The sequence below is a fragment of the Homo sapiens genome, chromosome 1 (genome assembly GCF_000001405.40).
Source record: "Homo sapiens chromosome 1, GRCh38.p14 Primary Assembly".
NCBI lineage: Eukaryota > Metazoa > Chordata > Mammalia > Primates > Hominidae > Homo > Homo sapiens.
The window spans coordinates 156,009,048-156,034,641 of record NC_000001.11 but is presented as its reverse complement, the minus strand read 5'-3'; the positions used below and the strand labels follow the sequence as shown (position 1 = coordinate 156,034,641).

At 47.1% G+C, this 25,594-nt stretch overlaps 2 protein-coding genes and 1 long non-coding RNA gene across 4 annotated transcripts in view, besides 1 other annotated feature; 2 read left to right on the top strand and 1 right to left on the bottom strand.

The window, feature by feature from the left end:
• The window catches only part of UBQLN4 (ubiquilin 4), a 22,552-nt gene extending 19,157 nt beyond the window's left edge, over positions 1 to 3,395 (top strand). The window contains exon 11 of the mRNA XM_024448469.2: positions 1,366 to 3,395. Within this exon, the coding sequence (XP_024304237.1) occupies positions 1,366 to 1,410 (45 nt within the window). The 3' untranslated portion in view covers positions 1,411 to 3,395. The remainder of the gene's footprint in view (positions 1 to 1,365) is intronic.
• LOC105371729 (uncharacterized) lies at positions 1,296 to 13,789 on the bottom strand. Of its 2 annotated transcripts, XR_001738249.3 has the most exons (3): positions 13,559 to 13,789; positions 3,781 to 3,909; positions 1,296 to 1,815 (listed from the first exon to the last, which is right to left on the bottom strand). It is a non-coding gene; the product is annotated as an uncharacterized LOC105371729 (long non-coding RNA). The 2 variants fall into 2 exon arrangements; XR_007066652.1 differs by lacking the exon at positions 3,781 to 3,909 and having other exon boundaries at positions 13,559 to 13,645.
• Positions 8,454 to 8,503: a silencer, noted in NCBI's record as "silent region_1414". NCBI's record gives its function as "represses an Ori minimal core promoter by ATAC-STARR-seq in GM12878 lymphoblastoid cells {active_cell/tissue: GM12878}" and the evidence as "EXISTENCE:reporter gene assay evidence [ECO:0000049][PMID:35858748]".
• Positions 13,691 to 25,594, top strand: SSR2 (signal sequence receptor subunit 2). Its single transcript, NM_003145.4, has 6 exons — positions 13,691 to 13,754; positions 14,475 to 14,629; positions 16,274 to 16,372; positions 19,573 to 19,681; positions 22,755 to 22,832; positions 24,992 to 25,594. Exons 2-6 carry the CDS (start codon positions 14,475 to 14,477, stop codon positions 25,100 to 25,102), a joined length of 552 nt encoding a protein of 183 aa, NP_003136.1. The 5' UTR covers positions 13,691 to 13,754; the 3' UTR covers positions 25,103 to 25,594.

Below are 25,594 nucleotides of genomic sequence, written 5' to 3'. Positions count from 1 at the left end.
TTGGCAAGATTGCCCTCCCCTTACCTTAGGTTAAAAAGTAAAACAAGGCTGGGCACAGTGGCTCACGCCTATAATCCCAGCACTTTGGGAGGCTGAGGTGGGTGGATCACGAGGTCAGGAGTTCAAGACCAGCCTGGCCAAGATGGTGAAACCCTGTCTCTACTAAAAATACAAAAATTAGCCAGGCACGGTGGCAGGTGCCTGTAATCCCAGCTACTCAGGAGGCTGAGGCAGGAGAATCGCTGGTACCAGGGAGGCAGAGGTTGCAGTGAGCCTAGATTGTGCCACGCACTCTAGCCTGGGGGCGACAGAGCAAGACTCCGTCTCAAAAAAAAAAAAAAAAAAGTAAAACAAAAACTCTTGCAGTCAGGTTTTATGCCAGTGAAGTTTGGTAGTTATTAATCTTGAGCTCAGACTAAACCTGGCATTACCACTAATCATGTAAGTTTGAGGAAGTCTTTTCACACCTATGGGGTTTTATCTTTTGTACATTGAAGTTATGGACTACGGTTCTGTGGAACATGAATAAGCCAAGAGTGGGAGGTTCCACTTTGATAATGGTATACTAGATGCCTGAGACCGATACTCTCACTAGAAATTTTAAAATCTGGGAAAAATACATAAAAAATGGAAAAAGCATCAAAGAGTGAGTAAGACTGACTGGAACCCAGAGGGGAAAGAAACTCTAAAGACTGGCTGCCTTTGACCTGGAGGCCAGTTAGGAAAAGGTTGCTGAGAGGCTGAGCTGTGGTTTTTTTTGTTTTGTTTTTGTTTTTTTTTTTTTGGTTTTTTTTTTCAAGATGGAGTTTCACTCTTGTCACCCAGGCTAGAGTGCAGTGATGCAATCTCGGCTCACTGCAACCTCCCCATTCCAGGTTCAAGTGATTCTTCTGCCTCAGCCTCCTGAGTAGCTGGGATTGCAGGTGCCCGCCATGACACCCAGGTAATTTTTTGTGTTTTTAGTAGAGATGGGGTTTCACCATGTTGGCCAGGCTGGTCTCGAACTTCTGACCTCAGGTGATCTGACAGCCTCGGCCTCCCAAAGTGCTGGGATCACAGGCGTGAGCCGTCGCGCCCAGCCCATGCCCAGCTAATTTTTATATTTTTTTGTAGAGATGGGATTTCACCATGTTGCCCAGACTGGTCTCAAACTCCTGGGGTCAAGCAAGGAAGGAAGGAGCAAGCAAACGGGATGTTCAGAGAGATAAAGTGGGGCAGGGATTGAATACATCTAGCAAAAAAACAAAACAAAACAAAACAAAAAAAACCTGGAATCATCAGGCTCACACATGCCATTCACAAAAATAAAATGTGCTTTATTTCTAAGCGGAAGGATTACACTCTGCTCTTCTGGCTTCTGCCCAGAGCTTTCCTTGGAGCCCCGTGGAGATCTGGACCATCACCCATTAGTGAAGCTCACAGCTGAGTCAGTCTCACCCGGGCTCCTCCTTGCTCCAGAGTCGGATGCCTTGTTTTCCTCCACTGACTTCTGCTTCCTGTGGCAGCAGCTACATAAGTATTGGCAAAAACATGGACAGACAACTTGGTTTCATTGGTGGATAAGCTCAAGCCACTTTCCAAGATGCTCAGGTGCTCCTTGTGCCTCACTTGGCGGATTCTTGAGTACGGGCATTGCCTCTGTCCTGTCCTAGGTGATTGCAAAGAGGTAGGGGGCCCCTCTCTCTGGTCCTCCTCCTCTTCCTCATCCTCCTTGTCCTCCTTGTCTTCCTCTTTCACCTCATTTTTCCTCATCTGGAGAATGCAAACCTTGTTCTGCTTCCGCCTCTTCGTCTGAACAAGGCTGGGATCTTCTTCCTTGGGGGAATCCAAGAGCAAGGAATGAAGCATGCTCTCCACCGACCCATCCTGTTACATATGGGACTTCGCCTCTGTCGTTGGCGGAGAGGCGAAGTGCCGCAGAGAAGCATGGAGATCACAGAGCAAACCTAAACCAAGCGCCCATCTCTCTGTGAGAACTGAGCAGACAGCAGAGGTTAAAAAACACTGTCCTGGCCCGGAAGACACGTTCACTTAAAATACTAAAGACAAGCTACAAAGCAGTATCTGCAAAGGATACACAGGCATATCCTGAATGCATTAAACGTTCATTCTTTTTTTTTTTTTTTTTCTGAGACGGAGTTTCACTCTTGTTGCCCAGGCTGGAGTGCGGTGGTGTGATCTCTGCTTACTGCAACCTCCACCTCCTGGGTTCAAGTGATTCTCCTGCCTCGCCCTCCCAAGTAGCTGGGATTACAGGCGTGAGCCATCGCGCCCGGCCAAATGCTCATTCTTTTCAAAGGGTTGTAATGCAAATATTTAGGTTAAATAAAGACTCATTTTGGCCGGGCGCGGTGGCTCACGCCTGTAATCCCAGCACTTTGGGAGGCCAAGGCAAGGAGATCACGAGGTCAGGAGTTCAAGACCAGCCTGCCCAATATGGTGAAACCCCCATCTCTACTAAAAATACAAAAACTAGCCAGGCGTGGTGGCACGTGCCTGTAATCCCAGCTATTCAGTAGACTGAGGCAGGAGAGTCGCTGGGCGGCAGAGCAAGACTCCAGCTCAAAAAAAAAACTCATTTTGGAAGGCAAATAATCACCCATTAATTTATCTGCTCTAGAAATCCTGCTTGTTCATATTTGAACAATCCTGCTTGTTCATATTTGATGGATACGTTTATTATCTTCATTGTGGTGATGATTTCATGAGTATATATATATATGTCAAAACTTATCAAATTGTACACTTTAAATATGTACAGTTTATTGTGTGTCAGAGCTCAAAAGCAAAAAACAGCTAGCATTTAAACCCTCCCTCAAACAGACAATTAAGAAGTTCCTCCATCCTGGCTAACACTGCGAAACCCCGTCTCTACTAAAAATACAAAACAAAAAAATTAGCCAGGCCTGGTGGCATGCGCTGGTAGTCCCAGCTACTTGGGAGGCTGAGGCAGGAGAATTGCTTGAACCCGGGAGGCGGAGGTTGCAGTGAGCTGAGATCGTGCCACTGCACACCAACCTGGGTGACAGAGCGAGACTCCATCTCAAAAAAAAAAAAAAAAAAAGAAGAAGTTCCTATACCAAGTGCGTTTAAGAGCATATGAGTATTGAAAGGATATTAGGAAGGACTAATAAGAATCGAGTGGCTAACTGGGAGGTGGTTCTTTTGTGTGTGAACTCTTGAGCCAAACTGAGCTCAAACTCTAGCATCTTTGCTTTCTACTTATGCGGTCTTGGGAGAGTTATTCAACCTGCCTGTGCCTGAGTTTGTTCATCTGAAAAATGGGGAAAATAGTAGCACCTGCCTTATAGGATTGTTATGATAGTTAAATGAGATGTAAATTCTTACAAAATACCATGTGGTAAGTACTCAATAAATGTTAGCTATGATTACTATTATTGTTGATATTACTATTATTATTGGTGGTGGAATTTTTTTTTCTGAAAGTGGTAATTCTGTTTTGTTTTGAGGCAGGATCTCCCTCTGTCACCCAGGTTGGAGTGCAGTGGGGCATTCACAGCTCACTGAAGCCTCAACCTCCCAGGCCCAAGCAATCCATCCAACTCAGCCTCCAAAAGTGCTGGGATTACAGGCGTGAGCCACCGAGTCCAGCCTCAAAGCAAATTTGAGCCATGTTTTAGTAAAGATACGAATCAAAAGCATGTAGAGAATGCACGGGAGGTTGCCACAGTATTTCTTAGTGAGCTAAAGTGCTCAAATGATGGTAGAACAGGGGTGCAAGACCTGAGGGGTGGGAGGGATGCAGGGTGGGGCACTTACACTGGTCAGCTCCTGACTCCCTTGGTAGCCCAAGTCATCAATGAAGCTGTTGATGGATGTCAAGGATACAGCAAATTTGTTAAAGGAGGGATTTTCTTCCCCTGAAGCCCCCCAAGCTTCTTTGATCTCCTAAGGGAGAGGTGGAGAGTCCAATTAAGAGTGGAACAGCCCATAGCTGGGTGTGGTGGTGTGCGCCTGTAATCTTAGCTACTCAGGAGGAGTTAGAATCAATCAAACCCAGGAGGTGGAAGTTGCAGTGAACCAAGATCACGCCACTGCACTCCAGCCTGGGTGACAGCATGAGACTCTGTCTCAAAAAAAAAAAAAAAAAAAAAGAATGGAGCAGCCCATATCCTGAGAGTGACACTGTAAAATAAATAAACACCAAGCAGAACTTCAGGAATCACCCTGCCCTTGCTCCTGGCTGTGTCCCATACCCTGCCGGCTTTGAGAGTCGATAAAGGCCCATTCTCTTTCTTTTTTTTTTTTTCTTTTTTTGAGACGGAGTCTTGCTCTCGCCCAGGCTAGAGTGCAGTGGCACTATCTCGGCTCTCTGCAAGCTCCGCCTCCCAGGTTCATGCCATTCTCCTGCCTCAGCCTCCTGAGTTGCTGGGACTATAGGCACCCGCCACCACGCCCGGCTAATTTTTTGTATTTTTAGTAGAGACGGGGTTTCACCGTGTTAGCCAGGATGGTCTCAATCTCGTGACCTCGTGATCTGCCCGCCTCGGCCTCCCAAAGTGCTGGGATTACAGGCGTGAGCCACCGCGCCCGGCCTGGACCCATTCTCTTTCTTCTTCATTATCATAGAGCTCTATGATCACTAATGCCATGAGACTGGCATGTCCCCCTCCCTCCCTCACCACACATTCACAATTCTTTACTCCCGGAGTCCTCACGGAAGTGGTTGTCATAGCAACAGGAGGGTAGGGTCCTGGGCCCATGGGTTCAAGGAGGGCTCCTCTGAAGGATGTGAGAGGCCACATGTGCACATGCATGCACACACACATGCATGCACACACACAGATGCACACGCACACGCACTTGCACACACATACACACACACACACACACACTCCTTTGTCACTCTTCAGCAAGAGGAGGCTGGGCCTGCTCAACCCCTCCCCCAGCTCCCACCTGGGCTAATAGAAAGGGAGAAGAGGAGACGGTGGTCAAATTCTGAAAATGGGATGAAACCTCAAAAGACATCAAGACAGCAGGTATAGATTCCAGAATCCACCTTGGAATTTGCATGTGTTGGGGAGAAATTTGGCAAGAAGCAGAAAATAGTCCTCCATCCACTTTCAACTTGGGGTGGCCAGGTCTGTCCAAGATTTTCAAGTGATCCCAGGACTTAGAAAGGACCCTTCAGAGTCTGTTTCAGGAGCTTGAGCTCTTTCTGAGCCTTCTCCGCTCCTCTTTCTACTCATCCTCTCAGTAGCCAAAGTTCTTCTATCTACCATGCATTTCTCCTTTTTCTCCATGCTCTCTCTAGGGGAGAAGCTCATTTGGTTTAGTCTAAACTTTATTGGTCAAATACAATGCTGTAATATGCGATTCTTGGTTGGATTCTAGTTTTCTTTTGAAAGTCATAAAGAAGCTAGGCATGGTGGCTCATGCCTGTCATCTCAGCACTTTGGGAGGCTTAGGTGGGCAGATCACCTGAGGTCAGGAGTTCCAGACCAGCCTGGTCAACATGGTGAAACCCCTGTCTCTACAAAAAAATACAAACATTGGCCGGGGGTGGTGGTAGGCACCTGTAATCCCAGCTACTCAGGAGGCTGAGGCAGAAGAATCCCTTGAACCCGGGAGGTGGAGGTTGCAGTGAGCCGAGATGGCGCCATTGCACTGCAGCCTGGGCAACAAGAGCAAAACTCTGTCTAAAAAAAAAAAGGCCATGTGCGGTGGCTCATGCCTGTAATCCCCCCCACTTTGGGAGGCCGAGGCTGGCGGATCATGAGGTCAGGAGATCGAGACCATCCTGGCTAACACAGTGAAATCCCGTCTCTACTAAAAATACAAAAAAATTAGCCGGGTGTGGTGGCGGGCACCTGTAGTCCCAGCTGCTCGGGAGGCTGAGGTAGGAGAATGGCGTGAACCCGGGAGGCAGAGGTTGCAGTGAGGCGAGATCGTGCCACTGCACTCCAGCCTGGGGGACAGAGAGTGAGACTCTGTCTCAAAAAAAAAAAAGAAGTATATATGAATGTGTATACAACCAGCCCTCTGTATTTGTGAGTTCCACATCCATAGATTAAACTAACTGCAGATTGGAGGTTATTATTATTATTTTTGAGATGAAGTCCTGCTCCATTGTCCAGGCTGGAGTACAGTGGCAAGATCTTGGCTTGCTGCAACCTCTGCCTCCCAGGTTCAAGCCATTCTCTTGCCTCAGCCTCCCAAGTAGCTGGGATTATAGGTTCACACCACCATGCCCGGCTACTTTTTTTGTATTTTTAGTTGAGATGGGATTTTGCCATATTGGCCAGGCTGGTCATGAACTCCTGACCTCAGGTGATCTGCCCACCTTGGCCTCCCAAAGTGATGGGATTACAGGCATGAGCCACCTCACCTGGCCGGAAAATTGTTTTTTTAATTAAAAAAAAAAATAGAGAGAGTCTCACTATGTTGCCCAGGCTGGTCTTAAACTCCTTGTCTCAAACAATCCTCCTGCCTCTGCCTCCCAAACAGCTGGGATTATAGGCATGAGCCACTGCACCTGGCCCAGAGATTATGTAAAGTGTACGGTAGGCCCAGCACAGTGGCTCATGCCTGTAATCCCAGCACTTGGGGAGGCCAAGGTGGGCGAATCACTTGAGGTCAGGAGTTTGAGACCAGCCTGGCCAACATGATGAAACCCTGTCTCTACTAAAAATACAAAAATTAGCTGGGCATGGTGGCGCACGCCTGTAATCCCAGCTACTTGGGAGGCTGAGGCAGGAGAATCGCCTGAACTTGAGAGGCAGAGGTTGTGGTGAGCCCCAGATTACACCACTGCACACCAGCCTGGGCATCAGAGTGAGACTGCATCTCAAAAAAATAAATAAATAAGTTGGGCGTGGTGGCTCACGCCTGTAATCCCAGCACTTTGGGAGGCTGAGATTGGCAGATCACAAGGTCAGGAGATCAAGACCATCCTGGCTAACACGGTGAAACCCTGTCTTTACTAAAAAAAATACAAAAAAAATCAGCTGGGTGTGGTGGCGGGCGCCTTTAGTCCCAGCTACGCGGGAGGCTGAGGCAGGAGAATGGCGTGAACCCGGGAGGCGGAGCTTGCAGTGAGCCGAGATCGCGCCACTGCACTCCAGCCTGGGCGACAGAGTGAGACTCCGTCTCAGATAAATAAATAAATAAATAAATAAATAAATAAATAAATAAATAGTATATGGTAGGGGCCAGGTGCAATGCTTCATGCCTGTAATCCCAGCACTCTGGAAGGCCAAGGCAGGAGAATCGCTTGAAGAGTTTGAGACTGACCTGGGACAACATAGTGAGATTCTGCTCTACTTTATTTATTTATTTATTTATTTATTTATTTTTGAGACGGAGTTTTGCTTTTGTTGCCCAGGTTGGAGTACAATGGCGTGATCTCGGCTCACTGCAACCTCTGCCTCCTGGGTTCAAGCGATTCTCCTGCCTCAGCTTCAAGTAGCTGTAATCCCAGCTACTGTATCCCAGTAGCTGGGAATACAGGTGTGCCCGGCTAATTTCGTATTTTTAGTAGAGACAGGGATTCTCCATGTTGGTCAGGCTGGTCTCAAACTCCCAACCTCAGGTGATCCGCCTGCCTCGGCCTCCCAAAGTGCTGGGATTACAGGCATGAGCCACCATGCCCGGCTGCTCTACTTTATTAAACAAAATTATAAAAAAAATTAACAAAAAGAATAAAGTATATGGGAGGATATGCATAGGCTATATGCAAATATTCTGTCATTTTATATAAAGATAATGAGCATCTACAGATTTTGGTATTTGCAATGGTCCTGCAACGAATCCCCTAAGGTTGCCAAGGGACGACTGTACATATACAGTTATGCATCACTTAACCACGGGATACATTCTGAGAAATATGGTGTTAGGTGATGTCGTTGTGTGAACATCATAGAGTGTACTTACAAACCTAGATGGCATGGCCTATTATACACCTTGGCAGTAGTATGGTACAGCCTATTGTTCCTAGGGCACAAACCTATACAGCACATTACTGTACTGAATACTGTAGGCAATTGTAACATATGATATTTGTGTATCTAAACATAGAAAAGGTACAGTGAAAATACAGTATCATAATCTATGTGACCACCATTATATATACAGTCCATTGTTGACCAAAACATCATTATGTGGCACAAGACAGTGTATACATATATTAATTTACATATAGAGTGACAGCAAATGGGCAAAATGTTAGTGACTGATAAATCCAGATGAAAGGTATACAGGTGTTAATTCAACCATTTTTTCAAGTTTCTGTAGGTTTGAAGTGTTTCAAAATAAATAATTGTGCGTGGGGCACTGTTCTTGGCTCTGGAATCTGGTGTCCTTTTCCAGCCAAGCCTGACCATTGCAGGGTCAGCAGCAGTGATTTTCTTCTCCCTGCGTGGCTCAGTTATGCTCAGTGACTACTTATGGGGAAGCCATTCCACAAACACGAGGTGTGTCCCTGCCCTGTAGGTACTCACAGTCCAGGGAGGGGAAAGAGCTGGGACAAGTTGTCTGACTACAGCGTGGTGGATGCAGTGGCAGAGCAGGACCACAGCGCAGAGGCTCGCCGACACTGCCAGCGTCCCCTAGTGTCTGGCAGGAGACTGAGTGCACACAGCTCATTGTGGAAAAGAAAAGAGACTCCTTGGTAGCTGGTTGGTAACACACATAGACTCCTGGTCCGGGAGGTAGGATGTGCATGCATGCCTTTTCTCCCAAAGTTGTCTTCCAGAGCCAGCCTGGAGCAGATACCCGGAAGTCCCTTTTCACAAAGGACCCTTGCCTTGTTCTTATCTACTTTGCCGCTTTTTTTTTTTTTTTTTTTAAGATAGAGTCTCCCTCTGTCGCCCAGGCTGGAGTGCAGTGGTGCCATCTCGACTCACTGCAACCTCCACCTCCTGGGTTCAAGTGATTCTCCTGCCTCAGCCTCCCAAGTAGCTGTGATTACAGGTGCCCGCCACCATGCCCAGCTAATTTTTGTATTTTTATTAAAGACGGAGTTTCACCATGTTAGCCAGGCTGGTCTCGAACTCCTGACCTCAGGGGATCCACCCACCTCAGCCTCTCAATGTGCTGAGATTACAGGTGTGAGCCACCGTGCCCGGCTACTTTCCCGCTTTTAGTTGGAGCCCTACTTCTTCCTGCTGCTGCCTCTTGGGTGAGGTCGAGGAGACCCCTGTTTCTGGCCTCCTCACTGACGTCGCCATTCCATCTTCAGAGTATGATATCTACAACCAAACCAACAAGTCATGCTGTCGCTCTCATCCTGAGAGACTGCCTCTCAGGATGATATGCCCTTATGCTAAAATGGCTCCTCATTACTGGCTGTGAGGCTGAGAGGGAACAAGAGGGTGAAGGGGCTGAGAGGACACGGACATCCTTCATGTGTGTAGGAGGAAGGGGTATACCGTGTGCTTTGCATACCTAGAAGCATCTACCTCAGGAAGGTATCTTCCCTGGGTTCAGACATTCAATGGGGTCAGTCAAGATTTGGAGGTTTTTTGGGGACTCACTGGGAGCTGTCCCACATCCTGTGCCTCAGACCCGAGCTTTCCCAATGATGGAGGAAGAATTGTTTCAGAGAAAAAGCAGAGAAAATGCTTTCTGAGTAGCAAAATGCTGGGCTTTTGCATTTCAAAAGCCAAAGTCCAGACATGTGTCAGAGTACACTAGAGCTGTGCTGTTCCATATACTAGTCACATGTAGCTATTCAAACTTAAACTGAAATGAGTTAAAAAATGAGGCGGGGCATAGTGGCTCATGCCTGCAATCCCAACACTTTGGGAGGCCGAGGTAGGTGGATCGCTTGAGGTCAGGAGTTGGAGACCAGTCTGGCCAACATGGCCAAACCCCGTATCCACCAAAAATACAAAAATTAGCCAGCTGTGGTGACAGGTTTAGCCATGTTGGCAGGGCTGGTTTTGAACTCCTGACCTCAGGTAATCTGCCTGCCTCAGCCTCCCAAAGTGCTGGGATCACAGGCATGAGCCCACCGCACCCGGCCCATGTGTTTTGTTTCCAGACAGGTTGTTGCTTTGTCACCAGGCTGGAGAGTAGTGGTGCAATCATAGCTCCCTGCAGCCTCGAACTCCTGGGCTCAAGCGATGCTTCCACCTCAGCCTTCTGAGTAAGCTGGGGTTACAGGAACATGGCACCATACCTGGCTGCTTAAAAATTTTTTTTGTAGAGACAGGTATCGCTTTGTTGCCAAGGTTGGTCTCGAACTCCTGGCTTTAAGCAGTCCTTCCTTCCAAGGTGCTGGGATTGCAGGTGTGAACCACCTTGCCTGACTGTTTTTGTTTTTGTTTTTTTGAGGAGTGCTTGACACCTCATTTGTCTTTTCATTATGGTTAGGACTATAGGTCATCCTCCTTGAGGGCAGGCACCATATCCTATTTTGTATCTCTCTTTTTTTTGAGATGGAGTCTCACTCTGTCACCCAGGCTGGAGTGAAGTGGCACGATCTCGGCTCACTGCAACCTCCACCTCCCAGGTTCAAGCGATTCTCCTGCCTCAGCCTCCCTAGTAGCTGGGATTACAAGGGTGTGCCACCATGCCCGGCTAATTTTTGTATTTTTCGTAGAGACCGGGTTTCACCATGTTGGTCAGGCTGGTCTCTAACTCCTGACCTCATGATCCACCCACCTCGGCTTTCCAAAGTGCTGGGATTACAGGCATGAGCCACCGTGCCTGGCCCTATTTTGTATCTCTTATAGTCACTATCACAGTGCTTGACACATAACAGGTGCTCAAAAAATGAATGCTAAATGTACTAATGAAAGAACAAGTGACTCGGATGGGATAGAGGCAGGAAAAGGGTCAGTGTATAAGTGGGCAACCCAAAGATGAAGACATTTCTCTTCTGGACCTAGAAGTGGCTACATAGTAAGGTGTCCAAAGAGTGTGTGCTAAAGATACATTGCTTTCAGGTGCAGCAGAGTCTGAGAAACAAGAACACCCACACTGTCCATCTTTCCGGTCCTGAAGAAATGGCTCTAGAAAGCAATATTTGAGCAAACAAGGTGGGCCATGCCTATAATCCCAACACTTTGGGAGGCAGAGACGAGTGGATCACTTGAGCCCAGGAGTTAGAGACCAGCCTGAGCAACATGGCGAAACTCCGTCCCTAAAGTAAAAAAAAAAAAAATTACCCAGGCATGGTAGGGCACACCTGTGGTCCCAGCTAATCGGGAGGCTGAAGTAAGAGGATCAGCTGGCCCAGGAGGTTAAGGATGCAGTGAGCCATGTTTGTGCCACTGCACTCAGCCTGGGCAAAGGGTGAGACTCTGCCTAAAAAGAAAAAAAAAGGAAAGAAAGAAAAAGGAAGGAAGGAAGGAATAAAAATTTCTCCAATTGGCTGGGTGTGGTGGCTCACATCTGTAATCCCAGCACTTTGGGAGGCTGAGACGGGCGGACCACAAGGTCAGGAGATCAAGACCATCCTGCCAACATGGTGAAACCCCGTCTCTACTGAAAATACAAATAAATTAACTGGGCATGCTGGCATGTGCCTGTAGTCCCAGCTACTTGGGAGGCTGAGGCAGGAGAATTGCTTGAACCTGGGAGGCGGAGGTTGCAGTGAGCTGAGATAGCACCACTGCACTCCAGCCTGGGCAACACAGTGAGACTCTGTCTCAAAAAAAAAAATTTCTCCAATCAGCAGACGTTTCTTGAGCACTTTCTTTGCCCTTGAAAAAGTGTACACTACAGAAATAGGACCTAATCATTAAGGTACATTTTTCTTTTTCTTTTTTAAGACGGAGTCTTGCTCTGGCACCAGGCTGGAGTGCAGTGGTACGATCTCGGTTCACTGCAACCCCTGCCTCCTGGGTTCAAGCGATTCTCCAACCTCAGCCTCCTGAGTAGCTGGGATTACAGGCATGCGCCACCATACCCAGCTAATTTTTGTATTTTTAGTAGAGACGGGGTTTCACCATGTTGGCCAGGATGGTCTCGATCTCCTCACCTCGTGATCCACCCGCCTCGGCCTCCCAAAGTGCTGGGATTACAGGCATGAGCCACTGTGCCTGGCCTAAGGTACATTTTTCAAGCCAGAAACAATTAAAGGAAAACAAATAAACTGTTGTGTGTAAAAGAGCTCAAAGCCAAGGAGGGCTTCCCAGAGAGGACAAGACCAGAACAGGGTCCTGAAGGATTGGCTGGATTTGGATAAGAAAGAGAGGCAGTAGGACATTTCAGGGAAGCCACACACCAAGGCCTGAAGTCAGAGCAGATTGGAGGTTGTATGTAGAGAAGTCATTATTAATTCCTGGACTACTTCCTGTGTGCTCAGGCAAGACACTAAGCAACGGGAAATGGACAACCTTTTCTCAAGAAGCTGCAATCTTGGAGGTGGAGAATGGAAGGACAGATACTAAGGCAGATACAGGCAATGTGTATTATTCTACAAGAATGTAACCCCCAGAAAGTAGAAACCATATCTGTCCTATTTATCACTGTATCTCCAGAACCTACAGCAGCACCAGGAACAAAGTAGGTGCTCAGTAAACGCATATTGAATGCAGGAATGCTACAAGGGAGGTATAGAATAACAGCAATACTGATAATTACCATTTACTGAGCACATACATGTGCCAGGCACTGTACTAAGAGTTTTACATACATCATCTTATTTGATACTCTAACCTTTTGTGAGTGCTATAATTATCTTGTTTTACAGATGTGGGAACCAAGGTGTTATATAAGTAATGCTTGTTCAAGGTTACCTAACCAGTAAGTGACAGAACTGGGATTGAATTCATGACTGCCTAACTTCACAGTTCATCCTCTGAACCTAAGATCTACTGTTCAAAATGCTGTTTTGGGAAGTTTGGCAGCTGATTAAAAAGTGCAGGGAGGCCGGGCGTGGTGGCTCAAGCCTGTAATTCCAGCACTTTGGGAGGCCAAGGTGGGCAGATCACTTGAGGACAGGAGTTTGAGACCAGTCTGGCCAACATGGTGAAACACCGTCTCTACTAAAAGGACAAAAAATTAGCCGGGCAGGTGGCACACTCCTGTAATCCCAGCTACTGGGGAGGCTGAGGCAGGAGAATCGCTTGAACCTGGGAGGCGGAGGTTGCAGTGAGCTGAGATCGCGCCACTGCATTCCACCCTGGGGTACAGAGCAAGACCCTGTCTCAAAAATAAAATAAAATAAAATAAAATAAATAAAAATAAAAAGTGCAGGAAAGACCTAAGATAGAAAGACTACTAGAGTAAAACCCACATCCAGAAACCAGCAAGAACTGAAGCAGTTATAGTAGGAATGGAGAAAAAAAGATCTACTTTTTTGGCACTTCAAAGGGCTTCTAAATAAAGCTCAGGGCTCGGTGACCTGCTGGATGTAGGGAATGTCTATGTGTCTTGTCTGAGAATAGAAAAAATACTGGTTGGAATAGCTTTTCTCTAATTCTCTGTTCGACAGTACTAGTTGACATTTTAGATAGATGATCCAAATTTCTAGGTTTGCTAGTTTCCCAAAGCACCTAATGAGGTGCGGGTCACATACAGTAGTGAAAAATCAGCTTGAAAAGCCCCCCAAAGAGGGCCGAATAAGAAGCCTGGAGAACGCACAAACCTCTTAGGAGCGCTCACAGCCTCTCAGGCAGGCGGGCACTACAAAGGGAAAGGTGGGGCTTCTCCAAGAACTACAACTCCCACAAGGCATTGGGCGGAACACCACGGTTTCCGGCCAGTGCTTATTTCCGGTCTTTCGGATGCTGACGCTCTCTTCCTGTCTTTGTGGCTCCGGAAAGGCGTTTGGGATGCCAACGGTAAGTCCGGAGGCTTAGGGCGTCCGAACGGGAGAGGCGAGAGCCTCGTGTCCGCGCATCACCCCGTGGCTGGGGGTTAGCTAGGGGAGGGCGGGAAGGGCAGAGGACGCGGTGGCTGGAGGACGTGTAACCTTGCAAGAGGCGGGAGGCGGGGGGCAGAGGTGATTGACCCCCGCCCCCCCGCCCGTGGGACCAAGAAAGGGATGTGACAGGCGAGGACGAATGGGATCTCAGGGGCTGGACTGGAGAGTGGGGTACAGGGATGTGAGGAGGACCCCGCGAGTCCGCGGTGGGATCCCAATAGAGCTGTGGCCAAGGAGGAGGGGAGCAGCGGGAAGGCTGTGGGCACTCCTGTGTGAGGGAAAGCTACAGGCTCCTGCAGGTCCGAGATCGGCCGAAATCAGGCACCCCAAGGAAGCCCTGCTCTGGCCACATGGTGTCCCCTCAGAAGACTCCACCAGCCGGTGGGCATCCCGGGGCTTCTGACAGGAAGAGGGCAGTAGATATATTGGTGCTTGTACCGGTTTTTCGAGGGCTGCAGGGTGAAGATGGTAGGAGAGTCTGGAGAACGGGTCTGCTCTGGTGGCTTATGGACTACTCTGTGGAAGGGGCTGCTGTTCTGGTAGCATCGAAGGAGCTTTCTACGGGAGCGCTGTCAAGAGGATTTTGGTGAATTTGACGTACTTGGTTTGATAACTCACTTTGCTTTTTTCTCTAAAGATGAGGCTGCTGTCATTTGTGGTGTTGGCTCTATTTGCTGTCACTCAAGCAGAGGAAGGAGCCAGGCTTTTGGCTTCCAAATCACTGCTGAACAGATACGCCGTGGAGGGACGAGACCTGACCTTGCAGTACAACATCTACAATGTTGGCTCAAGGTAACTCGAGGCCCTAGAGTTACAGATTAAGCCTATTTCTGGATTCTTAGTTTTCAGATGGGAATAGGGAGCATATTGGTGGGTAGTGGTTTCTCTTTGGGACACTTCCAGCATCAGATATATTGAGTGAATGAATACACTTCGGGATCTACTTTTGGAAAGGAGGACATTCTTACCTAAGCTACAAGAAACCATCTTTCACGTTTCGGGTTGGAAGAATTTTAGAGTAGGGAAGTGGCAAGAATTGTGGAAAAACTAGGAGGGAAAGATAAAGACACAGAAAATACACAATCCCTTGTTACCTCAGGGGTTTAAAGTGTCATCTTCCAGCCTGGCATGGTAGCTCACGCCTGTAATCTCAGCACTTTGGGAGGCTGAGGCGGGCGGATTGCTGGAGGTCAGGAGATCGAGACCAGCCTGGCCAACATGGCAAAACCCTGTCACTACTAAAAATACAAAAATTAGCCAGGCGTGGTGGCGGACGCCTGTAGTCCCAGCTACTCGGGAGGCTGAGGCAAAAGAATCGCTTGAACCCGGGAGGCGGAAGTTGCAGTGAGCCGGAGATTGCGCCACTGCACTCCAGCCTGAGCCACAAGACCGAGTCTCCATCTCAAAAAAAAAAAAGTGTAATTTTCCTTCTTTCATTAGCCTAGAGCATTTTTGTTGCCTTTCTTTCATTTTATTCCCTTATAACTTTCTCCTCTGTATTCACTGTGTTCCTCTTCTCCCTCCCTCCACACACATAGGCATGTACATGAAGAAAAATTGAGGCAAGGATGAACTTGGACCTATTGCCTCCTGGATACTTGATTATTTTGGTGCTTCTGAGCAATAGAATCCAGTCCTTGACCTGGATTCTTCAGTGCAACAGAACCAAGTTGCTATATTACTCATATCTTTTGCAATTCTGATTTTTTTGGAGAAGCAGGCAGGTTTGATTGTTTATTGCTTTAATTTAATTTTTTTATTATTATTTTTTAGATGGAGTATCACTCTGTCACCCAGGCAGGAGTGCAGTGGTGCAGTCTCTGCTCACTGCAACCTCTGCTTCCCAGCTGCAAGTGATCCTCCTGCCTCAGCCTCCCGAGTAGCTGGGATTACAGGCGCATACCACCATGCCTGGCTAATTTTTGTATTTTTAGAGACAGGATTTTTTGTATTTTAGAGACGGAGTTTCACCATGTTGGCCAGGCTGGTCTTGAACTCCTGACCTCAAGAGATCAGCCAGCCTCAGCCTCCCAAAGTGCTAGGATTATAGGTGTGAACCACTGCGCCCGGACTATTGCTTTAATTTTTTTGTTTGTTTGAGACAGAGTCTCGCTCTGTCCCAGGCTGGAGTATAGTGGTGCGATCTTGGCTCACTGCAACCTCCGCCTCCCAGGGTTCAAGCAGTTCTCCTGCCTCAGCCTCCCGAGTAGCTGGGATTACAGGCGCTCACCACCGCGCCCAGCTAATTTTTGTATTTTTAGTAGAGACAGGGTTTCACCATGTTGGCCAGGCTGGTCTCGAACTCCTGACCTCAGGTGATCTGCCCACCTCGGCCTCCCAAAAGTGCTGGGATTACAGGCGTGAGCCACGGCGCCCGGCCTGCTTTAATTTTATATCCATTACTTACTAACCCTTTTTGTTTCATCCATTTTCTAGTGCTGCATTAGACGTGGAACTATCTGATGATTCCTTCCCTCCAGAAGACTTTGGCATTGTGTCTGGAATGCTCAATGTCAAATGGGACCGGATTGCCCCGTATCCTCTTGGCACTTGGTGATGAAGGGTCGGGGGGCAGGGAGAGCCTTGCCTGCAAAGCAGCAGGGGTACTTCAAATAGGCTGGATATGTGTGGCTGTCCTCCTGTCATCTCTCTGGATAAGATGGAGCAAGAGAGGTTGGTGTAAATTGTGTGAGCATGATTTAGAGTAGACATGAAGAAGGAGGATACTGAAGTTCAGATTATAAGACCCTGAAACAAGCTGGGCACGGTGGCTCATGCCTGTAATCCCAGCATTTTTGGGAGGCCGAGGTGGGTGGATCATAAGGTCAAGAGATTGAGACCATCCTGGCCAACATGGTGAAACCCTGTCTCTATTAAAAATACAAAAATTAGCTGGGCATGATGGCGCGCACCTATAGTCTAGCTACTTGGGAGGCTGAGGCAGGAGAATCACTTGAACCCAGGAGGCGGAGGTTGCAGTGAGCCGAGATCCTGCCACTGCACTGTAGCCTAGGCAACAGAGTGAGACTCTGTGTCAAAAAAAAAAAAAAAAAAAAAAAAAAAAACCTGAAACATACTATACTGGGAGGATATAGACACTTAATAAAGATGTTTGTGGCTGGACAAAGGTATTTAAGGTGCTTTTAAAAGAAATTCAGGCCAGGCACAGTGGCTCATGCCTGTAATCCCAGCACTTTGGGAGGCCAAGGTGGGTGGATCACGAGGTCAGGAGTTCGAGACCAGCCTGGCCAAGATAGTGAAACCCCGTCTCTACTAAAAATACAAAAATTAGCCAGGCGCAGTGGCGGGAGCCTGTAATCCCAGCTACTCGGGAGGCTGAGGTAGGAGAATCGCTTGAACCCGGGAGGTGCAGGTTGCAGTGAGCTGAGATCGCGCCACTGCACTCTAGCCTGGGCGACAGCAAGACTCTGTCTCAAAAATAAAAAAAAGAAATTCACTGGGATGCTAGCATGAAGGATCTGGGTGACCTTTTAAAGTCTCTTATTCAGTGAGTCTCTTATTCTAATCTACCAATTATCTCCTGAGTATTGAATTAGATGGTATTTTTCTTCCTGTGAATTAAAGTATATTTAAGCCAGGTGCGGTGGCACATGCCTATAGTCCCAGCTACTTGGGAGATGGAGGTGAGAGGATTGCTAGGGCTTGGGAGTTCAAGCCTGCAGTGAGCTATGATAGTGCTGCTGTACTCCAGCCTTGGTGACAAAGTGAGACCTAGTCTCTTAAATAATAATTAATTGTATTTTATTAATCTGTTCTCAAGTTGCTATGAAGAATAAGCTGAGACTGGGTAATTTTTAAAAAAAGAGGTTTAATTTGTTCACGGTTCTGCAGGCTGTACAGCAAGCATGGCTGGGGATGCCTCAGGGAACTTATAATGGTAGAAGGCAAAGGGAAAATAGGCACGTCTTACATGTCTGGAGCAGGAGGAAGAGAGTAAGAGGGGAGGTGCTACACACTTTTAAACCAGATCTTGTGAGAACTCATATCATTAGAATGGCAAGGGAGAAATCTGCCCCCATGATCCAATTCCCTCCCACCAGGCCCCTCCTCCAACATTGGGGATTACAATTCCACATGAGATTTGGGCAGGGACACAGATCCAAATCATATCAATAATAATTATGTATACGTTTAGGTTTATTGGTGAGGGTAAATGTGGTCTTTGTATTTGTTTTTGTTTTGTCTTTTTTTTTTGTATTTTCAATAATTTCCTTCAATTATAGTTAACAAAAGATTTTCTATGAGCTTGGCCAGGCGCGGTGGCTTACGCCTGTAATCCCAGCACTTTGGGAGGCCGAGGCGGGTGGATCACGAGGTCAGGAGATCGAGACCATCCTGGCTAACACACAGTGAAACCCTGTCTCTACTAAAAATACAAAAAAATTAGCCAGGCGTGGTGGCGGGCGCCTGTAGTTCCAGCTACTCTGGAGGCTGAGGCAGGAGAATGGTGTGAACCCAGGAGGCGGAGCTTGCAGTGAGCTGAGATCATGCCACTGCACTTCAGCCTGGGCGACGGAGCGAGACTGTCAAAAAAAAACAAAAAAAAAAGATTTTCTGTGAGCTTAAGTGACTATAATTTCTTTTAATCATCCAAGAAGAAGCACTGATTGAATGACTGTAATTTTTTTTTTGAGATGGAGTTTCGCTCTTGTCGCTCTTGTCTTGAGTGCAATGGTGCAATCTCGGCTCACTGCAACCTCTGGCTCCCGAGTTCAAGCGATTCTCCAGCCTCAGCCTCCAGAGTAGCTGGGATTACAGGCACTCGCCACCATGCCTAGCTAATTTTTGTATTTTTAGTAGAGACGGGGTTTCGCCATGTTGGCCAGGCTGGTCTCGAACTTCTGACCTCAGGTGATCCAACCACTTCGGCCTCCCAAAGTGCTGGGATTACAGGCATGAGCTCCCATGCCTGGCCAAGTGACTATAATTTTTTTATCCATAACATATATTGCTTTGGAAGTTTACTTCAAAAACCATGACACTGAGTATAACATGGGACCCTTAAAATTTAGCTGGAAAAAAATACCATACACTTTAGATTTAAAAAAGATGCCTAGGCCCCATATGGTGGCTCATGCCTGTAATCCCAGGACTTTGGGAGGCCAAGGTGGGAGGATCACTTGAACCCAAGATTTTGAGACCAGCCTGGGCAACAAAGTGAGACCCCATCTCTCTCTCTTTTTTTTTTAATATTTAAAAAAATCAGTAAATTTTAAAAAGAAGCCTATATATATATATATATATATATTTTTTTTTTTTTTTTTTTTTTTTTTTTTTTGAGGCGGAGTCTCACTCTGTTACCCAGGCTGGAGTACAGTGGCACAATCTCGGCTCACTCAACCTCCGCCTCCCGGGTTCAAGCAGTTCTCCTGCCTCAGCCTCCCGAGTAGCTGGGACTGCAGGCGCATGCTGCCATGCCCAGCTAATTTTTTCGTATTTTATTAGAGACGGGGTTTCACCGTGTTGCCCAGGCTGTTCTCGAACTCCTGAACTCAGCCAATCCACCCGCCTCGGCCTCCCAAAGTGCTAGGATTACAGGCGTGAGCCACCATGCCCGGCAAAGAAGCCTATATTTTTTCATTCCTGCAGAATATTGCCGGCATGAGATCAGCATGTATTGGCAAATGTTTTGTAAGTGGTGCATTTAGTCCACAGGTTGAAAGGCTGCTACAACTTTAGCTTCATCTCTTTCCGTTCCTTAACTCTTGAGCCAGTGCTAGCAATGTCTCCCACACTGTGGTCCTGCGCCCTCTCAAGGCTGGTTATTTCAACTTCACCTCGGCAACAATTACTTACCTGGCCCAGGAGGATGGGCCCGTTGTGGTGAGTTGCCCAAACCCTTAGCTGGATGGAATTTGGATCTGCCTTCCCTTAAAATCTCTTGTGGTGGGGGTAAGAGGGGGATGAAGAGAGGTTGATTAATAGATACCAAAATACAGTTAGGACTGGGCGCAGTGGCTCACACCTGTAATCTAGCATTTTTGGAGGCCGAGGTGGGCAGATCACCTAAGGTCAGGAGTTCAAGACCAGCCTGGCCAACATGCAGAAGCCCCATCTCTACTACAAATACAAAAATTAGCTGGGCGTGGTGGCAGGCGCCTGTAATCCCAGCTACTTGGGAGGCTGGAGCAAGAGAATCACTTGAACCCAGGAGGCAGAGGTTGCAGTGAGCCGAGATCACACTACTGCACTTCAGCCTGGGCGACAGAGTGAGACTCCGTCTCAAAAAATATATATATATAGTTAGAAAGAATAAGACCTAGTGTTCGATAGTTTAGTAGGGTGACTATAGTTAACAGTAATCTAATGTATATTTCAAAATAGCCAGATGAGAAGCATTTGAACATTTCCATCATAAAGAAAAGATAAATGCGGCCAGACGTGGTGGCTCACGCCTGTAATCCCAGTACTTTGGGAGGCCAAGGCAGGTGGATTGCTTGAGCCCAGGAGTTGGAGACCAGCCTGGGCAACATGGTGAGACCCCCATTTCAAATAATTAGCCAGGCATGGTGCACGTGCCTGTGATCCCAGGTACTCAGGAGGCTGAGGTGGGAGGATTGCTTGAGCCCCAGAGGTTGAGGCTGCAGTGAGCCATTTTATTGCCACTGCATTCCAGCCTGGGCAACAGAGTGAGACCCTGTCTCAAAAAAAAGATAAATGTTTAAGGTGATGGATATCCATCTAAAAAGTATAGATTGTAAAAACAAAAACCTCTTACAGAAAATTTACACAGTAGCTACTAAATTCTGAGGGAGATAACATTAACCAGACACTTGGTATTGTCCTAAGGAAGTATGTTTCAAATTAAAGTTCTGGACTAGAGTGATTGAAATGGATGGGAGAGGTGTACCATGGCCTTCCCCTTCTCTTCATTCCTTCTGCCTTCCTTTTCATCTGGAGTGTGTCATTTGCTGCCTACTGATGTCCTTGTCTTTCTGATCTGTCTTCTCTGCCACTGTCAGATTCTTCCCAGTCTCCACTGTTACTCTCTCCTTCCCTTGCTTAGATTGCTCCTGCTTACGGCATCAGGGCTGAGCTTTTCTGCCTCTCACTGCACCCCCCTCCAGTAGTCTAGCTATTTTCTGCCTCCAGCCTTCTCTCCCACTCTGCCCATACAGACCCTACATCCTAATTAGGCCAAGCTACTTCCCATACCTTCTCCCCCAACTCAGTCCTTATTCTTTCCTTTGTGCCTTTGTTCTGTTTGAAGTACCCTTTTCCCTCCACTCCATTATATCTGAAGCCTTCTCAAGACCCAGCTTTGAGCTATGTCTCCTTGTTTTCTGCCTTCAGTTCATATTGCTCTTTGCTATTCATTCTTTTCTTTTTTCTTTTCTTTTTTTCTTTTTTTTCTTTTTGAGACAGAGTCTCACTCTGTCACCCAGGCTGCAGTGCAGTAGCGCAATCTTGGCTCACTGCAACCTCCACTTCCCGGGTTCAAGCGATTCTCTGCCTCAGCCTCCCGAGTAACTAGGACAACAGGTGTGTGCTACCGTGCCCGGCTACTTTTTTATATTTTTAGTAGAAATGGGGTTTCACCATATTGGCCAAGCTGGTCTCAAACTCCTGACCTGTGATCCGCCCGCCTCGGCCTCCCAAAGTACTGGGATTACAGGCGTGAGCCACCGTGCCCGGCCACTATTCATTCTTTCATAAACATATATTGACTGCATCTAAACTTCTGTAGCACTTATAGTCTATGGCACTTGAACATTTAATCACTGTCTTCAGTAGTTTGTTTCTTATTTATAGATCTTCCCTCTCCCCACCCCCACCTCCCAATTTAATTATAAACTCCCTGAGGCCAGTAACTGTCTTAGATTTCTTTTTCCCATATATGATAGAAACTCAGTAGTAAACAGTCTTTTGATTGATGTAAAGGTCAATAGACATTTATGAAGCCCCTGCAATGTGCCAGACTCTGGGGAATACCAAGAGGATTAATATACTGTCCAAGTCCTCAAAAAGCTTAAGTCATAAATGTATAAAGCCAAATAAATGTATAAATTTATGAAGCCAAAATGTGTGATCCTCCATACCAGTAGGGCTGTAGGCTAATTAGTACACAGTAGGGAAGGGACTTAACACAGTCAACCATAGAATGAAAAGAACTAACATTCATTGCACCTTCTGCATTTTCGTTTTTCATAAACTACATGGAACCATATTCTTCTAAACCTAGCGGTGTTTTCACATCCGGTATCATTTCTGCTTTCAGAACCAACCTCAGGACTCTTTGGTTCTACCTGGTAGTTGATGGGTTAATAGACATAAAATCAAAGGCTTTGCTGCCACTTTGGAATAAAGTTGTTTGCAGTGTGCTCCAAACTCTTGGCTTCCTCTCCAAGACAAAGGAATGTGGACCAGACTCAACCCCTCCTCTAATAATGTACATTTGGGTAGGGCTTTATACTTCATTATATATTTTTGCTATTTCATTTGAGCCTCACATTAACCCTGTGAAGTAGTGGATTTTTGCTGGAGGATTAAGTAAATGATTACCAAGGGTAAGTCATTCCACGCACACCTTGCCCTGTAGAGGGACCAGTGGTGGTGAGCAACTTCACTCTTTGCAGAGTCTGAGGCTCAGACAGAAGAATTTGGCTTTAATTTCAGTTGCATGCCTGGCCTACCTTGTTTAATATATGTTCTCCATGGGGTATTTCTCAGGTCTTCTGGCTCCTAGGTACTCCTCTTTATAACACACTAAGAGAGAATCATCCAACTCTCTCTAGCCAAAAGCTTTCCCTCATCTTCTTGAAGTTCTTCTGAGCCTTTGGGAACTAAGACTCTAATGCATAGAGTTGGGTTGGTTGGGACTGCCCTTTCTCAGAGTAGATGAGGTGGAACTTCATGAGGTGGACTTCCCTTAATGTCGTTCTTTTCTTCTTTTCAGATTGGCTCTACCAGTGCACCTGGACAGGGAGGAATCCTGGCTCAGCGGGAGTTTGACAGGCGATTCTCCCCTCATTTTGTAAGCTTTCTAGTGTTCTCTCTCATCAGTTCCTTGGTATGAGAATGCCCTTTTGGTTCTGGACCCTCTTGGCTTCCACAGATTTGTTTTGTTGGTTGGTTCTTGCCCTGTGTGTTTTTTGGTGTCTGATATAGATACTCATCAAATAGATTGATTTAGCCATGTCCAGAGATTTTTGGCAATGAGATCACAATTGCCAAAACCATAAAACTGACTTAAGTAGAGTCCCATCTTTGAGTAGATACCCATCTTAAACTCCTGGGTCTATTTTGAGGTTTAAAAAAAAAAAATCTGATTAGATTCAGAGGGTCATAGATCATTGGGTAGGTTAAGTGGGAACTTTACTGTGGTCTAGTCTAGGAAAGAATTTTTTGAAGATGAGCCTGAAGTACTGAATGCTGGAATTCATTCAGTGAATAAGTATGATGTTCCAGATTATGTGCTCATTCTGTGCTCTGCTTTGGGGACACAGTGATGAATAAGACACAGTCCCTTCCATTAAAGATCTTACAGGCTGGCGAGGCACCATGGCTCATGCCTGTAATGCCAGTGCTTTGGGAGGCAGAGGCGAGAGGACCACTTGCGGCCAAGAGTTTGAGGCTGCAGTGAGCCATGATCACACCACTGCACTCTAGCCTGGGTGACACAGCAAAACCCTGCCTCTGAAAATAACAAGATCTTACGAGCTCATAGAGGACTCAAAATAGTAAATGGGGAGGCTGAGGCAGGGGAATTGCTTGAGCCCGGGATGCGGAGGTTGCAGTGAGCCAAGATCGAGCCACTGCACTCTAGCTGCCTGGACAACAAGAGCGAAACGCTGTCAAAAAAAAAAAAGGTAAATGGGGAAAATGCTGTGATAGAGGTTATATGCCAGGTGCTGGAGGAGCCTGCAGCAGGAACATCTAATGAGAGGGGACTTTCTGGAGGAGGTAAGGAAGGGCAGGCACTTGAGGAGAGAGAGCAGCCGAGATTGAGAAAAGCATGGTGTGATTCAGGAATGGCAAGTAGTTTATCAAGGCTGAAGGGCAGAATGTGAGGTGGAGGAATGGAAAAGAGGGGGCCTGAAGTGTAAACAAGGGTTAGATCATAGGTGGCTTGACTGTCAGGGGCAAGACCAGGGCATCTCCATTCTCAAAAATTGTCTGGAACAGAAGCTTCTCTTCCAGTCTGGTTTGGGTCGGGTGAGTCCTTTGGTTTCACAGCTTGAAAGATTGGTCTTTAGAGAGCCATTCTATATCAGGATTGGTCAGAGAGGAACCTTCTTGCCTAAAGTTCTGCTTAAAATTTGTGCTGAGTTAGGCCTGGTGGTGTGTACCTATAATCTCTGCTGGAGGATCGCTTGAGCCCAGGAGTTTGAGGCTGCAGTGGCTATGATTGTGCCACTGCACTCCAACCTGAGCAACAGAGTGAGACTCTATCTCTAAAAAAATAAAATAAAAATTAAGAAAATTTAGGCTGGGTGTTGTGGCTCACACCTGTAATTCCAGCACTTTGGGAGGTCAAGGCAGGAGAATCACTTGAGCCCAGGAATTGGAGACCGGCTTGGGCAACATAGTGATATTTTGCCTCTACAAAAAATAAAAAAAAAATTAGCCAGGTGTGGTGGTACGCCCCTGTGATCCTAGCTACTCAGGAGGCTGAAGTGGGAGGATTACTTAAGCCCAGGAGATCAAGGCTGCGGTGAGCCGTGACCATGCCACTCCACTCCAGCCTGGGCAACAGAGCAAGACCTTGTATCGGCCGGGCGCGGTGGCTCATGCCTGTAATCCCAGCACTTTGGGAGGCCGAGGTGGGCAGATCATAAGGTCAGGAGTTCAAGACCAGCCTGACCAACATGGTGAAACCCAGTCTCTACTAAAGATACAAAAATTAGCCAGGTGTGGTGGCATGCGCCTGTAATCCCAGCTACTGGGGAGGCTGAGGCAGGAAAATCATTTGAACCCTGGAGGCGGAGGTTGCAGTGAGCTGAGAATGTGCCACTGCATACCAGCCTAGGTGACAGGGCGAGACTCCGTCTCAAAAAAAAAAACTAAGACTTTGTATCAAAAATAAATAAATTTGGGCTAGACTGCTCCCTTTCTCATTGGACTCATATTTTCCCTGGCTTCTCCTGTGCCCTAATCCAGACTTCTAAGCAAGGTCTTTGTTTTCCTTTACAGCTGGACTGGGCAGCCTTTGGGGTCATGACCCTTCCCTCCATCGGCATCCCCCTGCTATTGTGGTACTCCAGCAAGAGGAAATATGACACTCCCAAAACGAAGAAGAACTGATTGGGGCTTCCACAGCCCTCCTCTCCCAAGAAATCCAGGCTCCTCTCCCAAGAAATCCAGGTGCTTTCCAGACTCCAAAGGGTATCTTAAATGCAATCTCTTCTCTCTTAGCCCTTGGCCACTTTCTCCTGGATCCTGCCCTGCTCTCAGCCATAGTGAAGGACCAGCCCTAGGAGTCTGCGAGAGCCTCCTTGGTTCCATCGTGAAGCCATAAACAGGAATGCCTTTGGCAATAGCCTTGAGCCTAGAGGGCCCTCTGATGCCCCACTGAGGTGCTGTTGGTTTATTGCTGGCAACGTGAATTCTCTCAGGGGTCTAGGAGGGGCATTTTGGAGACTGCCTGACACCACCCCTATCCCCTGCCTCCCCCTCTCAGAAGAGGGTGGAAGATGAAATGAAAGCTATGGGACTCTTGGAGGATACCCAGTGTCTATTCTGGGTTAGAGAAGTGCTTACTAAGGGGTTTTCTAATAAAAACAAATGCCACATTGA